The sequence below is a fragment of the Homo sapiens genome, chromosome 10, assembly GCF_000001405.40.
Source record: "Homo sapiens chromosome 10, GRCh38.p14 Primary Assembly".
Taxonomy (NCBI): domain Eukaryota; kingdom Metazoa; phylum Chordata; class Mammalia; order Primates; family Hominidae; genus Homo; species Homo sapiens.
Genome location: NC_000010.11, coordinates 54,633,795 through 54,655,236, shown reverse-complemented (window position 1 = coordinate 54,655,236; position 21,442 = coordinate 54,633,795). Strand labels below are relative to the sequence as shown.

At 33.9% G+C, this 21,442-nt stretch overlaps 1 protein-coding gene and 1 long non-coding RNA gene across 21 annotated transcripts in view; one reads left to right on the top strand and one right to left on the bottom strand.

Annotated features, from left to right (window-relative positions):
• Positions 1–21,442, top strand: part of PCDH15 (protocadherin related 15) — a 1,825,172-nt gene that overhangs the window by 972,706 nt on the left and 831,024 nt on the right. The gene's annotated exons all lie outside the window — the stretch shown is intronic.
• Positions 1–21,442, bottom strand: part of LOC105378311 (uncharacterized) — a 169,822-nt gene that overhangs the window by 815 nt on the left and 147,565 nt on the right. Inside the window, exon 5 of the long non-coding RNA NR_134503.1 lies at positions 209–325. This is a non-coding gene — a long non-coding RNA (uncharacterized LOC105378311). The remainder of the gene's footprint in view (positions 1–208; positions 326–21,442) is intronic.

Here is a 21,442-nt window from a genome sequence, read left to right as displayed (position 1 = left end):
CTTCCTCCCTTCCTCCCTTCCTTTTTTTTGACGGAGTCTCGCTCTGTGCCCAGGCTGGAGTGCAGTGGCGCGATCTCGGCTCACTGCAAGCTCCGCCTCCCTGGTTCACGCCATTCTCCTGCCTCGGGCTCCCGAGTAGCTAGGACCACAGGCTCCCGCCACCGCGCCCGGCTAATTTTTTGTATTTTTAGTAGAGATGGGGTTTCACCGTGTTAACTAGGATGGTCTCGATCTCCTGACCTCGTGATCCGCCCGCCTCAGCCTCCCAAAGTACTGGGATTTCAGGCGTGAGCCACCGCTCCTGGCCTAGATGTTCTTATTTGTCCTGCTGAGACAGGGAAAAGAAAGAAAAGGTCTAATTCAGAGTCCAGGCAATGCATATAAAATCAATAATATCCGGTAAGGTGGATGCTTGTCTTTGTGGTTCTAATAATCTGAAAATTTTAGAACGATTGAAAAATGCCCACATTCTAATTGTATGAAAAAGCAGAACTCATTTTAAATGTTCTTCATAGAAATCGAAGTTGAGCAAAAATGTAATTATAAACTTGCTTGGCTCTGAGTCATCAATGACTTATACAATTCATAATAGAGTTTTTCTTTAGTTAGATGTTCTGTCAAATCTTTGTATCTGTTGCTACCAGTTCTTCACCAATTCCCTTAAGCTCTGCAATTTGGTTTTTCTTGTAACTATACTGAAAGTGCACTCTCTATGGCTTCCAGTAACTACTTCCTTAGACAAGTACTATAATTTTGTAGCATTTCAGCAAACAGCATTATTGATTTACCTTTCCTGCAACTTTCTTTTTCTCAGAGGTTTTTTACTGACCTTTTCTGAGTGTCTTCCTATCAGACTTCTCCATCTTCTGGTGAACATAGTACTTTTTACTTTTGTCTGATTTTGAAATTTCCCCACTCTCATTTATTTTTCCATAAGGGGCTGTATCCTATAATAAACACATTTTGTATATTCTGAACAATTAAATAACATCATATCCTTTGTAACTGTCAGCTTTCTCTAACTTCCTATTATTTAACTTGCTGTCCACTGGATGTGGTTGGTGGTTACCAGAAGCTGGTGGGTGGAGTGAGCAATGAAATGGGAAAGAGGAGATGTTGATCAAAAGTTATAACATTTCAGTTAGAGGAGGAATAAGCTTCAGTGATCTATTGCACACAATGGTGACAATAATAAATAATATTGCATTGTGTGTTTCAACATTACTAAAAGAATAGATTCTGAATGTTTTCACCATAAAATGACAAGTTTATGAGGTGATAAATTTGTGCATTAGCATATTTAATCACAAAGTAAATGTATATCAGAACATCACATTGTACCCCAAAATATGTAATGTGCACAATTATTTGCCAATTAAAATTTTAATTAACTAATTGACTAACTGTTAAAACATTTTGGAGTAGAGATAATCAGAAAATGTTTGCAGGAAGAATTTTGAGTTTTCAAGTTAAGGAACTTGAGAAGCATATGGAAATTTCAGGAAAAATTTGAATAACACTGAGTTGGCACTTTTAAGATGTGTATCCGTTTGCAGCAATGATGATCATACATGCTGTGCTATGACCCCAATCGCACAAGGTTAGGTATTAAAAGAATCCAAAGGTAACAAAATAGCATGTACTGGACAGTTTTGATCCCAATCCAGTTTTCTAAAAGTATACAATAGCAGAAGTCATTACCTAAGTTTTAAAATATCCTCAACAGCCATTACCAGATGCTAATATACCTACTCCAAACTTTGAGAAGCAGTAGAATGTGGTGGTTAAAAATACACACCTTCAGTTTGGACTGCCTAGATCTGAATCCTGGCTCCAAAACTCTGTAGCTCTGTGGCTATAGTAAATTACTCAATATCTCTTTGCTTAAATTTCCTTGTCTATAACACACGGCTAGTAGGAATACTTACATTATAGGAATATTATGAATGTCCAATTATTTAATGTAAGGGGTTTAGATGAATAATGGTCACGTGGATACTCTGTTAGCTGTTTTCATCATCATTGTCATGAAAGGTAACCGTGTTAGATGAATGAGCTCTCCTACTTAACCTATATGTTATCAGAGTCAAGTTACTTGATCTAAGTCATCTGTTCTTGTTTATAAAATGAGGAAAATGGTACTACCTCTCTCATAGGGTTATCATGAGTTCAAATAAGGCAAAGCATACAATACCTATGTGTCATTTTCTGGTACATCAGACATTAATAAAATTATAAGAAAATTATATAAAATATGTTTTGTTTGTATTCTTAATAAAACAAGATTTTTGTTAGGAGGTGGCAGAGATTAGGCAGATTGTCATTTTCCTACCATGGGATTGAAATGTTTATTGGAAACAGAGATAAAAGTTGTCCTTTTACTAGGAATGCCGTAATTAAATACCACAGACTAGGTGGCTTAAACAACAGAAATTTAAGCACTTCTGGAGACTGGAATTATCCAAGATCAAGGTACTAGTTGAGCTGGTTGCCTCAGTCCTCTCTCCTTGGCTTTCAGATATCTACCCTCTTGCTGCCTCTTCACATTGTTGCCCTTCTGTACAGGCACACCCGTGATGTCTCTCCTTGTGTCCTAGTATCTTCTTACAGGTTTCACCTTAAGAGCCTCATTTTAACTTAATTATCTCTTCAAAAGCCCTATATCCAAATATAGTTACATTCTGAGTTACTAGGGGATAGAGGTTGAATATATGAATTTTGGGGAACACAATCTAGCCCATAACACTGAAATAGAGATAGATTCCAGTTAGGAATGCCTGCGAGTCTTAGTTCTTTGATACTGCAGGGTCTTAGGCATATGGCTTTTATCAGACCCCACCTGCTGTGGAGGACTGAGCTATTCCAGGTGTCCCTGCCCTAATTCAGTTGCCTTAGTCACTGAGCAATGCAGAGTGCTCAGATGCAAGCCTCTGAGACTCCAGCTGAGTCTCAGGATTGGAGCTAAGAATGGACACAGAAGACAAGGCAGAGCAGCAACTGAAAATCTCAAAGAAAGAGGAGGGAAAGAAAGGTCCTGAAAGTAGCAGATGTGAATAGAAGATAAAATGTGACCAGATAATTCCTTTAAAGCAGAATGACTGATGAGATAAATGGGGCAGTACAAGGGAATATGTCATTTTCTATCTACATTTACTCCCTTTTCCTAGGACAGCTTAGTCTAGATTATTCAATGAAAATTGGAATTAGACATTAAATTCCTTGCATATAAGAACTGGGAAGGTAGGTGTGGTTTTTTTTTTTTGTCATTGAAATCTTAGTTCACATTTGGTGTTCCATGTGCATTTGTGAAATAAATAAATAATTTTACACCTTTGTCACATTGCATTTGTAGGAAACAGTTATATTTTGCAAATATTCAGTTTGTTCTGATGAGTTGTTTAAATATTCACCTATTAGGCAGAACTGTATAACTATCTCTGGGCAGTGAAATATAAGTAAGTATGACGTATTATTGTTGGGCTGATGCAACAAAAATCTATGTGAAATTCTTCATTTTCTCGCTCTTCTGCCAGAACAACTTAAGAAGATATGTATCACAGATGGTTCAGCTGTAAAAGGTAATGCCTCAGTCAGCCCTTATCTTTGAGTGACTAGGTGGAGTGGATCTCTCCTTCCCTTGCTTTCACCTACCCATGATAGATGTGCACCATGAAAGTGAGATAATACATTCCCCCATGGATTTAAAGGCCAGTTTGCATACTATGGCTTTGCTTACTGCAGAAGTTGAAGTGACTCAGCTTCTGTCTTTCAGCTATTTTTAATAAAACAGTGAACCGCTAATCTCTATTTCCTAAAACAGTACTTTTCTCAAGTATCTCCTAACATTTCTTCCACTATCTACTGGATTGTGTCCACATCTAAGCTTTCTTGGCCCTTTGTGATATATTCTTGCTTTGCCTACTCATATTATTTCCCAGAATTTCTCAACATACACCAATTGTTTACTCACATTGTATTCTTTTCCATTATTGGAATGTTAAATTTTATTTCCTTCTGTCTATATTGTTTTAAAGTCTTTTTGCTTTTCTTACTGTATCCTCTCTCTTTGCCCTTTTCTTTCTCGTAATCCATCTATCCAGGGCTCATTTATAAGCTCAATTTCCTTTGTGGAACTCCAGTTTACAACAATACTCATTCTCTCTCTCTTTCTCCCTCCTTCCTAGAAGTTATTCTTGATTGATTGCTTGTAGGGTTCACTTTTTTGCCACTGATTGTATTTAGTGCCTTCTCATATAACATTAAGTAATGTTCCTACTTATTTCATACACATAATTCCTACCTACTTGATATGGTTTGGCTGTGTCCTCACCCAAATATCATCTTGAATTTTAGCTCCCATAATTCCCATGTGCTCTAGGAGGGAACTGGTGGGAAATAATTGAATCATGGTGGCTGTTTCCCCAGTACTGTTCTCACAGTAGTTAATAAGTCTCATGAGATCTGATGGTTTTGTAAGGGGAAACCCCTTTTGCTTGGTAGTCATTCTCTCCCTTGTCTGCTGCCATGGAAGATGTCACTTGCTCTTCCACCACGATTGTGAGGCCTCCCCAGCCATGTGGAACCGTAAGTCCATTAAACTTCTTTCCTCATATTTTACCTAGTCTCAGGTATGTCTTTATTAGCAGTGTGAGAACAGACTAATACACCACTCAAGAAGTCTCTTGAAATTATGAATCATATCAATAGTCATTTTATGTGTAAGCATCAGTCACTAATAGTAACCACCAACATTTATTTAGAATTTATTAATTAAGCCATTTATATAGATTATATTCTTTAATGTTCACAAGTACTCCATAGGGTCCTTGTGATTATAACAATAATTATTAGTATTTTACTATTATTATGCCTAGTTTAGAGATCAGGGAACTATAAAGAAACAGGGAACTCAAGTTGCTTTCTCATTGTGGTTCAACTATTATGTGGGAAATCTGAGAGCAAATCTGTTATCTCAGCTTGAAATGCGATAGCCACATGCTGTCCTGTGATTTTATAATGTAAAATTTTAACAAAAGTTTATTGTTCTAGATTTTACTAAAATTCTACTTATTACTGATACTAATTTATTTATTGTTCTCCAATGTTAGTACTGATGACACCCAATCAAAATTAATGTCCATCTTTCCCTTTATAATATGTCATGTAATGCTTGTTTTCATGGTTAGATTATAAAATCCTGAACAGAGACAGTCTCAGTTACTTATATTTTCCTCAGGACTTGGCAGAATGACCCAATTTGTGATTAATGAAATAAATAAGCATTGAATAAAAAGTAGATTGAGACATAAAATGCGTCAGCTAGAAGGGCAAGTTGGTGAGCTTTGAGGATAGTAGCTGGAGTTCAAACAACAATTCAAAAATAGGTAATGAGAGTTTGATTTATATGACACTGGTCAATGACGTGGGGACAAAATCAGTCAATAAATATTTAGTAAGGAGATATTACCCACCCCACAGTGTACCTTTTTTGCATCCTGTTAGGAAAACAAGAAATCTAGGTAAATTATATGTGTAGACAAAATACTAAGTGAATCTCTAAAAATTTACTCACACACACACATACACACACATGTATATGTGTAATTTATCACATCATGGGTTATCACTAACTGAATCTCTCATATATGTGTAATTATAGATTACATATATATTGTTCTTCATTGAAAAATTGGAATACTGATGAGAGCTCTTCAGCTTAGGCATAGATAATGTTTAAAAAGAACATTGTTAATACAGTCATCAATATTTTATGTGGTTGTATGCAAGATTTGTCCACACATGGTCTTCTGGATTCACGGAATGCAATTCTGATGATATCTCCCCAGGAAAAATTAGAGCATTATAAGCAAATATTAATAATTCTTTACGCTTTATGTTGAGTATTTTTGTTATATTTCATATATGTAATTTATTACAGATCAAATTAGTATTTATCCCATGATTGTGTATTATTTAGAAAAGTATTTGTAGAAAACTCAAACTATGAATTCATGCTTTCTTCAGGTATTTCCTCTCTTCTTTGCTCATGTCGGATTATTAGCTGCCTTTCTGAGTATTTGTTTATAACGCTAGTGGATCATAATGCAGTGGCTGTTCCTGACATCAGTGGCCCAGTTCATGCTGTTAATGTTCCCTACTCTTGTAAGATCCTATACTGCCCCTAAGGGCTGCCCCGCTAAATGCTCAGTGAAGACTGTTCAGCTAGTTTGCATTTAATATGTTTCTTCATTGAACAATTGGAATACTGATGAGATCTGTTAAGGCTTAGACTTAGATAATGTTTTAAAAGAACATTGTTAACACAGTCATCAATATTTTATGTGGTTGTATCAAAGATTTGTCCACACATGATCTGCTGGATTCATGGAATGCAATTCTGATGATATCTCCCCAGGAAAAAAATATATATCATTATAAACAAATATTAATAATGCTTTATGCTGAGTATTTTCATTCATTCATTCAAGTATAGCAAGCATTATGTAATACCTGTTATGCTAACATCAGGTTTCTAATAACAACTAGCGTTTGTGGTATTTGTAAGTGCCAAACACCTTAGAAATACTCTTCTCTGTATTTATACCATATACCTTCATCCACACACATTGTATTTTATAGATAACACACTTAATAATGTATTATTACATTTAAGTTACACAAAATTACATAGCTTTATACAAAATTGCATAGCTTTATTTTTAAGGGGCTACTAGGTGCCCAACCCTGTTCTACCTGTTGTGTATATAGCAGACAACAAAACAGATGAAAATCTCATCTTTGCGGATTTTGTTTTATGTTGGATAGAGACAGATAACAATCCAAAGCAACAAGAAAACACATAATCAAATCATGGCTGTCTTCAAATGTCACATTTTTGGTGTCCTCCTCTCAAAAACTACATTTACACTGACTGGAGAAAGGCACTGCTGCTGTCCTGTTTAATGAATTCCACAAGTTGTCAGTGATGAATACACATTTCATGTACTGGGTTGGGTGCAGTGTCAATAGTTCACTGGACAACATTCCTTCTAATTTTCTCTTTCTTAGAATACATTTTACTTTAGATTATCAGAGGAACCCCTTGGAATTAATATGTAATAAATATAGTTTGACAAAAATACCAGTTTGAATTAAAATATTGGAAATTTAAAGAATAATTGAAACTCTTTCCAAACTTTCCTAACCTTGAAAAGGAAACTGAGTTTGGAGAGGGCTCAAGAGAGAATGGAGGAAGAGGAAATATAGGCAGTTTGATGATATGATACCAAGTGTTTTTTATTTGTTTTGTTTGTTTTTAAGCAAGAGGGCAGTGGTAATAGGGAAGAAGGAGTAAGAAACAGGACCTATCCCAACTCAGGTCCTAGTTGTGGAAGAATATGATAAAAACATTCACCACTAGTGAGAGGGCTACAGAAAAATAGCATTTTCTGGGGTGAGCCAGATTTCTGGCAAAGGAAGAAGAAATCAATGGTCAATCAAGTATATACTATCTTATTTAATCTATTTAATCATTACAAAAATTTCACAAGCTGAATTTTATTATTATTCCTGTTTTTCAGATGTGGAAACAGAAGGTTAAAATTTCAAGCTATCTTGCTTAATTTCACACAAATCCTACATCTAACAGCCATAAAGATGGCTCAGGCACCTGGCTCATGCTGCCAAATCCTTTTTTTATTTTTGCAAGAAGAGTCAAGTAGAGGTTCTACCTTTTAAAAATATTTTAAAGTTTTTAACAATACTGTATTTGTTATCTTTATACCATAATGTTATTCATCAGGTTTCTAGAATTTTTATCTTTCATAACTAAATATCTACACATGTTGTTTAGCATATTCTCACTTCTCCCACTCTCCAACCCCTGGCACCATTCTATTCTTTCCCCTGGCACCAGTCTATTCTTTGCTTCTGTGAGTTTCACTACTTTAGATACTTTGTAGGATTGGTATCATGCAGTATGCAGTATTTGTTCTCTGTGACTGGCTTATTTTCCTTAGCATAATGTCTTCAAAGTTTATCCATGTTGTCAAATATTGCAGGATTTTCTTTCCGCCCTTTAAGACTGAATACTATTCCACTGTATGTATATACTGCATTCTCTTTATGTATTCATCTGTCAATGAAAAGTTAGGTTGTCTCCGCACCTTGGTTGTTGTGAATAGTGCTGCAGTAACATGGTAGTGCTAATATTTCTTTAAGATCCTGATTTCAGTTATTTTGGATGAATACCTAGAAGTAGGATTCATGGATCATATTGTAGTTCTATTTTCAGTTTATTAAAGAACTTGTTTTTCAGTTTTCCATAGCAGCTGCACCATATTGTATTCCCATCATGTATAGGAGTTCCAGTTTCTCCACATCCTTGCCAACACTTGTCTTTTGTTTTTGCTTTGTTTTTTATAATGGTCATCCTAGTAAGCATGAGGTGATATATCATTTTTGCATTTGTATCAGCATTCCTCTGATGATTAGTGCATTAAAAATTAAAAATAATTTCTGAAAGAAATTAATGAAAACAAGTGGAAAGACATCCTATGTTCACAGACTGGAAGACTCAATATTGTTAATACTGCCCTACTGATCCAATACAATCCCTATCATGCTGCCACACTCTTAATCATTGTATTTTAATACCTTAGTAATAAGTGGTGTAGGAATCACAAAAGTACAATGATGTGGGCCCCGCCCCCTGGAACTTTAGGAAAATGATGGAAGTTGTGATAAAATATTATTATATGTCTATTTCTCCAAAATATATTCATTAAATTTACCATATGACAGTTTTGTGCTAAGTTCTGGGGATAAAAATACAGTTGTCCCTCAATATCCTTGGGGCTTGGTTCCAGGACCTACCATAGGTACCAAAATCCATATATACTCAAGTCCTGCAGTTGGTTCTGTGAAAGTCAGCCTTTCATTTACGTGAGTTTTGTATTCTGAATACAGTGTTTTACACTGAGTCCAGGCTGCAGTTGAAAGAATGTTATTTATACTGCGAAAGTGGGAGTGTAGTAATAGTCTGTGTCACCTGCAATAGATTACAAAAAGATTTTAAGAATGAAATAGTTTTGAGGAACTATGATTCAAATCTTATAGTTTCATATAAACAAAGAAAAGAGAAACAGAGGATTAACATGCGATAAAACATGTAGTGTGTGAATATAAAATAAATATTTAAGGCATAGTAGTTAAGAGCATGAGCTTAGAAATCAGATAAAACATTTTCAAATCCTGAAAATATTAATGTATGATTTTTGATGAGTGGTCTCTAAGGCTCTGATCTCTATCCATAATCAAGAATAATAGTAACTTTCTCATTAGATTACTGTTAGGATTAACTAATGTTATGCAAGAAAATTGTGTAGTATATTTCTGGCATATAAGAAATGATAAATATATGTTAGTATGTTATAATAATATTTTCAATTTAAAGCATATTTAATGTTTCTTCATCATTAATCAATATTCCTTAATGTTTTCTTTGTCTAAAAACATTTACACACACATGCAAACATACACAAACCTGCACAATATATTGGCCACTTCTTTCTTAGAACACTCATAATACTTTCTACATACTTCATTCTGTGTGCTACAATTCTTCTTACAAATTTCTGTCCATCTTGTCTTTGATTTTCTCTGTTGCATTTTATTAAAGTATCTGGCAAATAATAGGAACTCAGCAACCACTTGGTATCTGTACTTTTATTTTTTTTAATTTTCTCTATCTCCTACAACTTTTTGTCTATTTTCTTAAATTCCTTCTTATAAATGCTTTTACTATTTTTCATTCGTGTGTGGGTGTTATTCTATCTCCATTCTTCATTTTCTTGTAATAGGTTTCATTCAAGTCTCTTCTATTCTCACTTTTCTATTTACCATTTCTCTCTCTCTCTCTGTCTCTCTCAGCAGTTGCTAAACTCTTGTCATCTCTCTACCACCGGCTAGCTAATTTAAATTCCAAAAATCCCAATAATTTTTGCATATCAACTGCTTCATTCCTAGGTATAAAGGAAAAATACACAGACATGCCAACCTACAAATTTTAAAATAGCAAGAAATGCATCTTTCATTTACTGAAAATTTTGTATCTAAGAGTTTTCTGAGTATAATACCAATATTTACATGCCCTAGTCATCCTGCCACAACAAAAACAGAAACTGGGTAATTTATAGATAACATAATGTATTTCTCACTGTTCTGGAGGCTGGAAGTCAAAGATCAAGGCACTGGTAAGTTCATTGTCTGGTGAGGACCTGGCCTCTGTTTCAAAGATGGTGCCTGTTGCCGCATCCTTTGGAGAAGACGAATGCTGTGTTCTCACATAGCAGAAGGGCAAAAGGGCCTAGTTAGTTCCCTTCAGCCCTTCTATAAGGTACAGAGTGCACAGCCCTCATGACATAATCACCTCCTAAGGGCCCAACCTCTTAATGTTGTTGCATTGATGTTTAAGTTTCAACATAAATTTTGGAGTGAGATGCAAATATTGAAACCATAATACAATGTTAAAAGATACATTATGAAAAATCTTTGCAAAGAAACTGTTATTCTGAATCTTTTTTTCTAGCCTTATCCCGTCATTAGAGACGTTCAATAGAATGAATGACTGGCCAATGATGGAATTGCTAAGACAAGTAACTGGAAGCTTAAGATAAAGTACTTTGAAAACAGAAAATGTTCAACCATGTTCTTAATACCAGAAGGAGTCAACTAAGAATAAATACTCTTTGTTGACCTTGAGTGAATATATTGTAATATGACATGTTGCAAGTTAAAGATTCCTAACATACTTTTATACAGTCAACAAATAGATGAATTTTTAAAAATTAATGCCTTAGAAGATGAAAAGCATATTCAGTAAGCTTTGAAAATAACTGGAACCCAGTCTATGATTGTAGGACATTTGGGTTTCAGTTATTTTCAAAGCTTACTGAATATGCTTTACATCTTCTAAGGCATTAATTTTTAAAAATTCATCTATTTGTTGACTATATAAAAGTATGTTAGGATTAAGAAAATGTGGCACATATACACCGTGGAATACTATGCAGCCATAAAAAAATGATGAGTTCATGTCCTTTGTAGGGACATGGATGAAATTGGAAATCATCATTCCCAGTAAACTTTCGCAAGGACAAAAAACCAAACACCACATGTTCTCACTCATAGGTGGGAATTGAACAATGAGAACACATGGACACAGGAAGGGGAACATCACACTCTGGGGACTGTTGTGGGGTGGGGGGAGGGGGGAGGGTTAGCATTAGGAGATATACCTAATGCTAAGTGACGAGTTAATGGGTGCAGCACACCAGCATGGCACATGTATACATATGTAACTAACCTGCACATTGTGCACATGTACCCTAAAACTTAAAGTATAATAATAATAAAATAAAATTTTAAAAAAAATGAACCAGAGCTAAGCCAAAAAAAAAAAAAAGAAAATAACTGAAACCCATCTAGTATTATATGTTTATGTGATTTAAAAGCCCAGATTTCAAATGGAATATTTTTCTGAATCTATATCAAATATTTTTCTGAATCTATACCAAATACATATTGCTCTAACAGAGAACAAAAGTATGTATTTTTTAAAAAAGTAACACTTTTTAAACAATTAAGGTCATATGAGAGCAACAGAAAAGTGTGTACAAAAGGCAAAATGATAATCTATCCTGGGAAAATATCAAAATAGACTCTCCTTTCACAGTACTATATGTATACCAACTTTGACAACACATGTGTTTGAATGTATTAGCAAATTATACTTATCAATAAGATTCTATTATTAACTTTCATTATATGCAAGTAGGAAGAAAACATATCTTTGCTTTCACTTCTGAAGTGCATTTAAGTATTTGGTGAGCATCCTTTCAGAGTTGAGGTTTAGAAATCGTTTTGAACAGGTTTAATATAAAAAGTCATTTGAGGAGACTCTTCTAAAATAAATGAAAAAACATATGTCAGAGTAGGTTCATCAAACTTTATGGCTGGGTGTGGTGGCTCACACCTGTAATCCCAGCACTTTGGGAGGCCAAGGTGGGCAGATTACCTGAGGTCAGGAGTTTGAGACCAGCCTGGCCAACATGGTGAAACCCCATCTCTACTAAAAGTACAAAAAAATTAGCTGGGCGTGCTGGCAGGCACCTGTAATCCCAGCTACTCGGGAGGCTGAGGCAGGAGAATCGCTTGAGCCCAGGAGGCGGAGGTTTCAGGAAGCCAAGACTGTGCCATTGCACTCCAGCCTGGGACAGAGAGCGAGATTCTGTCCCAAAAAATAAAACAAAACTAATTTTATCACCAATTTGCCTTCTTTACATTGGAGAGTTACAACAGACGTTTATAAAGAATAAACTTGGGTCAAAGTCATTTTAATAAAGACTGATACTTTTTATATAAATTATATTTTGGGCATTTATTACCAAATGTAAAACTTTTGTCCTTTTATTTATATTCAATAAATTTTCAATAACTATATAAGGTATAAAAAACAATGTAAAATAAACTGTAACCTCTAAACTGACCTAATAGATCATTTGGGGTATGGAATAGTCATAATGTCTTTAGTAAGAGAAACAGAATTTTCTGTAATTCATTGCATAGCTGATAATGCACATATAATATGCTGATATATTCATTGCTTTTGGTGACAGTTCATTTAATTATTTAGTCTTTCAACGTATTTTTTAAGGTCTCTACTATCTGCTAGATACTATGAAAGATAATGGGGCAAGGAGTTTATTCTAAATGGAGGGAATAATATATAAGCCTCCATGACCAGAAGTAAGCGAGGTGAGATCAAGTGTCTTGTCTTAGTCCATTTAGGTTGCTATAACATAGCACTATAAATTGATATAGACAGTTGCTATAAACATAACACTTTAAACTGCTTATAAGGAACAAAAAATTATTGTTCATAGTTCTGGAGGCTGGTAAATCTAAGTTCGAGGTGCTAGCAAATTTGATGTTTGGTGATGGCCTACTTCCTGATTCATTGACAGTGGTCTTTTCTCTGTGCTCTCACATGACAGAAGGCACAGACAGCTCTCGGGGCCTCTTATAAGGCATTAATCCCACTCATAAGGGCTGTGGTCTCATGACCTAATTATCTCCCAAAGAGCCCACCTCCTTATACCATCACGTTGGGGGGTTATATTTTAACATATGAATTATGGGTGGGGGGAGTTAAAATATTCAGACTATAGCAATATGAATAAAGGCCAATGTAAATCAAATGCTGATGAAACTGAGGAGGTATGTAGAGACCAAGGTTTGTTAGCCAATGATAATAATTTTAGTCTTCATTCTAAGTGAAACCATTAAAGTTTTTAAAGCTGGAACAGGACCAGTGGGGGCAGGGGAAGGGGGCAGAAATAGTAACATCATGATTCAATTTATTCTAAAACAGATCACTCGCTATAGTGAAGAGAGTGGATTTGTGTAAAGACTGAAGAAAACTAACATCAGAGGTGAAATAAACAGTTAGCAATATAGTCCAACGGAGAGATAATAGTAGTTTAAGCAGGTGGAAGTGGAGCTAGAGACAAGTGAAGAGATTGAAAAATAGATAAAGAAAAATGTGCATGCACACAGATACACACAGCAGTGTGTGTGTGTGTGTGTGTGTGTGGTGTTTGCATATGTGTACCTGTGTATGATTTATTGCAAATGGGGAGTGGAAGTGGAATAAAGGGAGGAAAAGTGGTATGTAATAAGGTAGAATAGGGCCATTCACTAATATAAACATCCTAAAGGGGCTACATTTAGAAGGGAGATCATCAGTTTAGTTGTAGGAAAACTTTGAGAAAGAAAGTAGTTAATTCAATAACTACTGGATCTAGATCTTAAAAATTTGTATCTCTTATCTGTTCCTGAATAAGTGGTGATTGTGATCAAGATAACTGAATAAGTGGTGATTGTGGTCAAGATAAGCATTTATAGAAGTGATTATTTTGTGCATTTCTTGGATTCTTCATGAAAACAAATGCAATTGTTTTATGATGATGTTCTTAGAAAAGCTTTATTTACACGTACACACACACAAAACTTTATTTCTAAATTATGTTTGTACTTTTAAAAAAATTTTAATTTTTATTATATTCATTTTGTTGAGACAGAAATGGCTCTATCGCCCAGGCTGGAGTGCAGTGGCACCATCTCGGCTTACCACAACCTCCGCCTCCTGGGTTCAAGTTATTCTCCTGCCTCAGCCTCCTGAGTAGCTGGGATTACAGGCACACATCACCATGCTCGGCTAATTTTTGTATTTTTAGTAGAGATGAGATTTCACCATGTCAGCCAGGCTGGTCTCCAACTCCTGACCTCAAGTGATCCACCTACCTCAGCCTCCCAAAGTGCTGGGGTTACAGGCTTGAGCCACTGAGCCTGGCCTGTTTGTACTTTTTAATATGTCACTAAGACTCTTAAAAAGGCATCGTGAAGAAGTGCACAACTGGCATTTTTTTTTTCTTTTTCTAATTCTTCCACTCTTCCTCTTATTCTGATTTTAGAACTCATATAAAATTCCTGTCATTTATAAGTAATTTCAAGAATAAGGAAGGAAAAAAGGAAACATCTGGAGGGAAAAGGTATATAAATTATGTAATCAAATATGTTTATTTTTCATAAAAATGTTTCAGTAAATGTCCTTATTCAAGCTACGCAGGGTGACATCACTTAGTATCTTTTTGTAGGTATTATATTATTTCATCTAAACATCAAGGAAAAAAATCATTGTTCAGTAAAACATTTAGGAATTTTATTAGTTCATTTATTTTACTAAGCTATATTTAACAAATAGAAAAGTATTAAAGGTACATACTTATATATCTCAAGTGTCTTTGAACCCATGATATTAAATTTTTGCAATAATAGTAAGTATTCCTAAATGTTTTGCCCTGATTTTCTAAAAAAAAAAAAATTATCAGGAAGGCAGAAAATTTCCAATTTTTACATTTTTTCTGATTTTATTTCTGTTTTCCTGTTAAAGAAATTATGTTTAAATATGCAAAATAACTTTATTATCAAATTACACATTCAGATGGAAGCAACATTAACTATAAATTATTTTTCTCAATTTTCTCATTTTGTTTTCTAACTGGTTTTTATTTATTTATTTAGAGACAGGGTCTTGCTATGTTGCCAGGCTGGAGTGCAGTGCTATTCACAGGTATGACCGTGATGCACTACAGCTTTGACCTCCTGGGCTCAAGTGATCTTCCTTCCTCAGCCTCCAGATCAGCTGGACTACAGGCATGCACCACCATGACCAGCTTTTAAAAATCTATCTATAATCACTAGGTATATTTTATTCAGTGCCATATATCAGGAAAGTACATTGTTTCATTAGTCTTTTTTGTTAAATAGTGATAGTTTCAGGTGACAGGGTTAATGTGTGGTTGGGTGGCTGCAGATACACACGAATCTATTTGAAAACCTCAGAATCATCAACATTAATCATGTTTCTTTTGGTGGTGTTCCCATATACATTTTGCGGATTTTACAGTATATGTTACCAGACTCTCAGAGGAATACTCCTATTTATTAGTTTTTGGCTACTTTATTCACTATTATAAACAACTCAATGTATTGAATATCTTTGTAGTGATGTCAAATATGTAACTGTTCTATTGCCTTATCATTTGGCATTAGTATCTTGTATTTAATTTATTAAAATAACCATTTTAAGTCAAATTATGGAGAAATAATCCTCAAACATGAATTTTAGAATGTAGTTTTCTCTCAAAAACTTAAACTTCTGAGACCTTTTTTTTTGCCTTTTAATGTAACAAAATGAAGAAATTTAGACTCGGCTCCAAGAAATACTTTATAACTCTTAACTCTCTGACCAAATAAGATTTTATATATCTAGGGCTAAAGAATATGTATGCCTCCTCATAGATTCTTCTGAGGTCATGTTTGTCTGAATCTCTTAAAATATTATTACAAACTTTGGAAGTTGAAAATAATATTAACTTTCAAAGTGGCAACATGTGTACAATGTAACAAATTTGGATTTATCGTTTATTTATAAGCATATATTTGGAATTTCAATTCTATAAGAAAACATCAAGCACAGCTATTAATTTTGGAGACATTAAGAATAGTACTCACCTGTGAATTTTACGTCCTTTTTACGGGATACAGGAGATAAAATTAAAGGGACAGTGGCTTGTTAAGGTAGGATATTGTTTATTATATCACTCTGTATATCATTGTGTACCCATAGTTTAGCTTCCACTTACAAGTGAGAACTTGAAGTATTTAGTTTTATATTCCTGACTTACTTCACTTAGAATAATGGCCTCCAGTTCCATCCAAGTTGCTGCAAAAAAAAACATAATTTCGTTATTTTTTATAGCTGAGCGGTGTTCCGTGGTGTCTATATACCATGTTTTCTTTATCCGCTCATTGGTTGGTGGACACTTAGATTGATTCCATATCTTTGCAGTCGTGAATTGTGTTGCAAATAAATGCGCATGTGTATGTGTCTTTTTTATATAATGATTTCTTTTTCTTTGAGTAGATACCTAGTAGTGGAATTGCTGGATCAAATGGTAGATCTACTTTAGTTCTTTGAGAAATAAATAAAAATTAAATAATAAAAGATAGGCTAGTTGACAAGTGTAAAAAATGGAAGCCAGGCACTATCTTAAATTCATTAGCTACTTTTTAAAATTGTTTTTATCTGGTTAAATTTTTGGCGAAGTACTTTAGGATTTTAGTTATTACTGAATGACTTAACTGAGTATAATGAGATATACTGTAGATACAGCAAAAATGTGGGAGATTTCTGAAGGGATATTTCTTACCTCAAATTCAAAACTTGAATTTTGAAAGAATAATCTTAATTGTAAATGTCTGTCAATTATTTGGGAGGCCATGGGTTTCTTTCTTTAACTTGTTTACTAGATTGTAATCAAATAAAAAAATGTAAAGGTAAAATACATACTTTCTCTCTGAGATTGGTACCCCAATCCAGTCTCATAATGTATATGTCTAAAATACATAGTTACAAAAAGCTGAAAATAAAGATCTTTTTTTTCATGAGACCATCAGTCATCAGGGTTCAAGCAGATCTTTTATGTTGTGCGAGTTACAAAATGTGACACAGGGTGGAGGGGGAGTCTCCCTGTTTCCATGAAGGACATAGAGAAAATCACGGTGTCTGTCTGGGATACAATTTCCTCATCTGTTATCTGAAGGAATTAATCTAAAGGAATTATTTTAAGAGACTGTACTAATTAGTCAAGTAGATCTGAGTATTGTCCACATAAAAGGTCTTCATCTGTTTCAGATGTTCTAACATTTAATATTGCTCATGCTGTCCACAGTACCAAATAGATTCAGACATGTTCTGAAACTTGATTGTTTCAGATTGATAAATACCATATTTATTGAGCTCATTAAAAACACTGGATAATTTTTATGCCCCTTGGGATAAACAGAATAATAACTCCCCAATTATTTCTATGTCCTAATTTCTGGAACTCGCAAATATGTTACATTACATAGCAAATGAGAATTTATTGAAGATAAAATTCACCAGTCAGCTGACCTGAAAAGATTATTTTGGAATATACAGGAAAGCTCAATACAATAATTAGAGTCCTTGAAAATGAAAGAGTAAAGCAGATAAGCTCAAAGTCTGAGGGAAATGTGACTATGGAATAAGTGCGTGTTGTGAGTGGTACTCAATTAACTGTTATTAACTGATAAAATTGAAGAAGAACCATGAGTCAAGGAACAGGGCTGTCTCCAGAAGCCGGAGCAGACAAATAAATGGATTTTCCTTTTGACCTACAGAAGGGATATAGTCCTGTCCACACCTCGATTTTAGGCTAATGAGACTGATGACTCACAGAACTATAAGGTAACAAATTAGTGTTATTTTAAGTCTGTGGTGATTGTTACCATAGTGATAGAAAACTAACACCTCTCTTATAGATTTTACAGCATAGTGAGGGATACTGACAAGAAAACTCATATATCTATCAAAATAGTGTTCCAAGAAGATGATGGGAGCTCAAAATAGGTAACTAAATCATTCTTCAGCTAGCCTCCCTGAATTGTTTTTTTTTTTTTTTTGAAGATTGATTCTTAGTTGAGTCTTGACTAGGAGTAGGACAGACAGAGGAATAGATATAGTGATACAGAGTAGAAAATTTTAGCTCAAAAAAGGAAAGAAGGTACGCTATGCCATAAAAGTTTGAAAGGCTTTTATATACTTGGGAGAATCACAACTTACTGACATCTTGTTTACTTATATTACATCATGAGTATGTCTCAATATGGCTATAGTTTGCCTTGATATGACGTTGTGTAAATCATTTGAAAATTTTGTTGTGTTTTCTAGTACTGGAAAATAATAGGGCAATGGTATATTGGAAATTAATGTTCTTATTTATAAGTTATAAAAATAAAGAATTTAACAATGTTATATTTTATAGATTTGGGATTGTTTGCCTCTTCTGTCATATCAGTCATTAGCTCTAGAAAGCTGACTGGGAATGCTATGCTGGTGACGTGACCTCCTGCCCATGTTCTTCTTTCAATTCTGCTCTTTCCCCTTCTTTCTGTTTGTACATTTCAGAGACCTAACCTAAAATCTTAAATCCACTTCATTTGCTATTATATGTGGCTTCTAGAAAATGTATTTATATGAAATTGTTTCATGGTTTGTCAACATCATTCATGACATTTATAAATTCATATTAGGAAGGAAAATGTGATATATGCAAATTAAATACAATTTAGTTTTACAGTATGCAGAAAAGAGACCTGAGACTGCTGCACTTAGAAACATCTGCTTACAAGATTGGCTCTTGTCTGGCCTATGGGAAAGTGATTATCTCTGAGGGTAAAGAGACAGGGGAATGGGAGAATAGAGACATGCAGATGAATATAGTTGGTAATACTCTAATTCTTGGTTTAAGCAAATTTTTAATATTCATTGCACTGTACAAATAAATACCATTAAGAAAAGCGCCATTTATTTGCTAATGGTGATGGTGCATCATAAACTGTTGATGATTAGTCTAATGTTTTACCTTTAAGTTCCAATTAAAATATTAATACTAGGAAAAAATAAAGGTTTTAGAAATGGATTAGTATTCAGTTTTTAGTATTACTGGATTAATGACTTCATGTCAATTATTAACGTTACTTACTTTTTTGAGCTTCTGTTTCTTTACTTCACAAATGATGATAGTGGCTGTCTTGTAATTTTTTTTTGAGAGAGGTTAGTCATTATTCCTGTTACCAAATATTTCTCGTTTTCTTTGCAGACACATGACAGGATTATACTTCTGTGTTTTTGTTTTTCAAGTGATATATGACCATAATATTTGTGATTAAAAGTGAACTCGTGGAGGTCACCTCTGAATGATAAATATAAGATCCAGTGTATCATTTATGATGTTTTTCTTCCCTCTTTTGAGTGTGTCATTATTAGCTCTGTCAACCTACATCCTTGAGTGAGTATAATAGCAGAACAATTTGGACATTGAGAGTGAATAACAATATATAATTTTTCTTATTTTAGGCTTCTGATGTTTTATATTTGTTACCATAACACATTATTGCCTATCCTAACTAATACAATTTTCATTAAATTAAAAGAGATAAAAGAATGCCAATTACCCAACACAATGCTTAATGTATTATATGTGATTAACAACTTAGAGTAGTTATATTACTGTGAACTTCACAATTTCCATGTAATAGAACTCTGGTAGAATACAAGATAAAATAGGTAAATTTTGGTGACAGTACAGATTGTAAAATTACACAGTGTATGAAATTATGTGTGTGCATATATATATATACATATATGAGATGAATTAAGGAAAATTAAACACGAATGTCACCATTTTTACATGGAGCTCTTTGTTTTACTCGAGTTTTTGAAGCAAATCTCAGCTAAATAAGCATGTATTTTACATAGGTCTCTAAAATAATTGCTTTCATTTTAGCTTTGACTTGACTGAGTCAAGAAAGCAAGTCCAGGAATGAATAAATTATTTATTTATTTATTTATTTATTTATTTATAGGAGACTATTTGTATACATTTCAAAAACAAGAAAAACTATATATCACGTAGGCATACTTTTATGTGTGATCTGTTTAAAGCAAGGAAAAAATAATCAAAATTCAGGAAGGTAATTAAATCTGGCTGTAAGACATCAATGATGAGTTTATGGCTTAAAAGCTCTGCTCTATAAATCATACATCTGAGCCTTACTGCTATCTTCCTAAAGAGGCCGTGTACACTTAGAAAATCACCTTTATAATATTATCTATTAAAAAAAGAAAATTCTGTTTTGGGCTTATAATCCAAGGCAGTGACAGCAGATATTATAAGGCATTTTAGGAGCATGGATAAGAATAAGCAGCAGTTTATAATTGTGAAGATGCCTAACTATGTGTCTTTTTTATTTATCTGAGGTTAAAATGCTTGTTTTAATATATTTACATCTGAAACAGTTGGAAGATAGTGTATACGCGCAAGCATCTTTAAAAGTAACTCTTGTTATCACCAAACTTATAAACAATATGTATAATTTTTTTCTCAGTCTCTTTTCCTTTTGTTGATTTTGCTTTCCATTCCTTTAGCGTCTTGTAAGAAAATTGCAGAGCCTGCCTCATATTCTAAAAGCATAGACATGCTTAGATTAATAAAGAAATAATTCTCCATTTCCAAAATGAAAATACATGTTTTAGATAAAATACAGTAAGTCCAGAGACTTATATGACCTCCAATAATTAAAATGAATAAAATATTATTCAGTTTTTCTAGTTACAACAAATTGTAACTGCTGCTGACTTCAAGAAAGGAACACTTTGAGACTTTAATTATTTCTAAAAATTGTTATTTGCTATAATGACATATGCAAAATATTTATAAGTATAGAAAGCAGTGCAATATTTTATAATTTACCTTATAAAAAGTTTCATCCTCTTGAAATGCAGTATTGTTTTTGGTAAGAATCAAGGGTGCTCCTGATACAAGTATAGAAAGCAGTGCAAGATTTTATAATTTACCATATAAAAAGTTTCATCTTCTTGAAATGCAGTATTGTTTTTGGTAAGAATCAAGGTTGCTCCTAATACAAGTTTTTCAGAGTTTAATTCAGTCATTTGGCTATGGACACAAGAAACCTGAAAGTAATGGAAGGTATTTATGAAGATAAGGATTGGCTCCAGTGGCCAGAAGGAGATTCATGGCTGGTGCATGGGCATCTTGGCATATCAGCTAATGCATGGGGTCATGAAAAGTTCTGGCTGATTTGTGTACAACCATGCTGTCAGAAGACATTTTCTCTAAAACACTCCTAATATGTGCCTAAACTCTTCTTATGATTTAGGTTTAGTTTTTCAGTTCTCCATGGTTATTGCAGAGAGATCTCTCCATAGAAA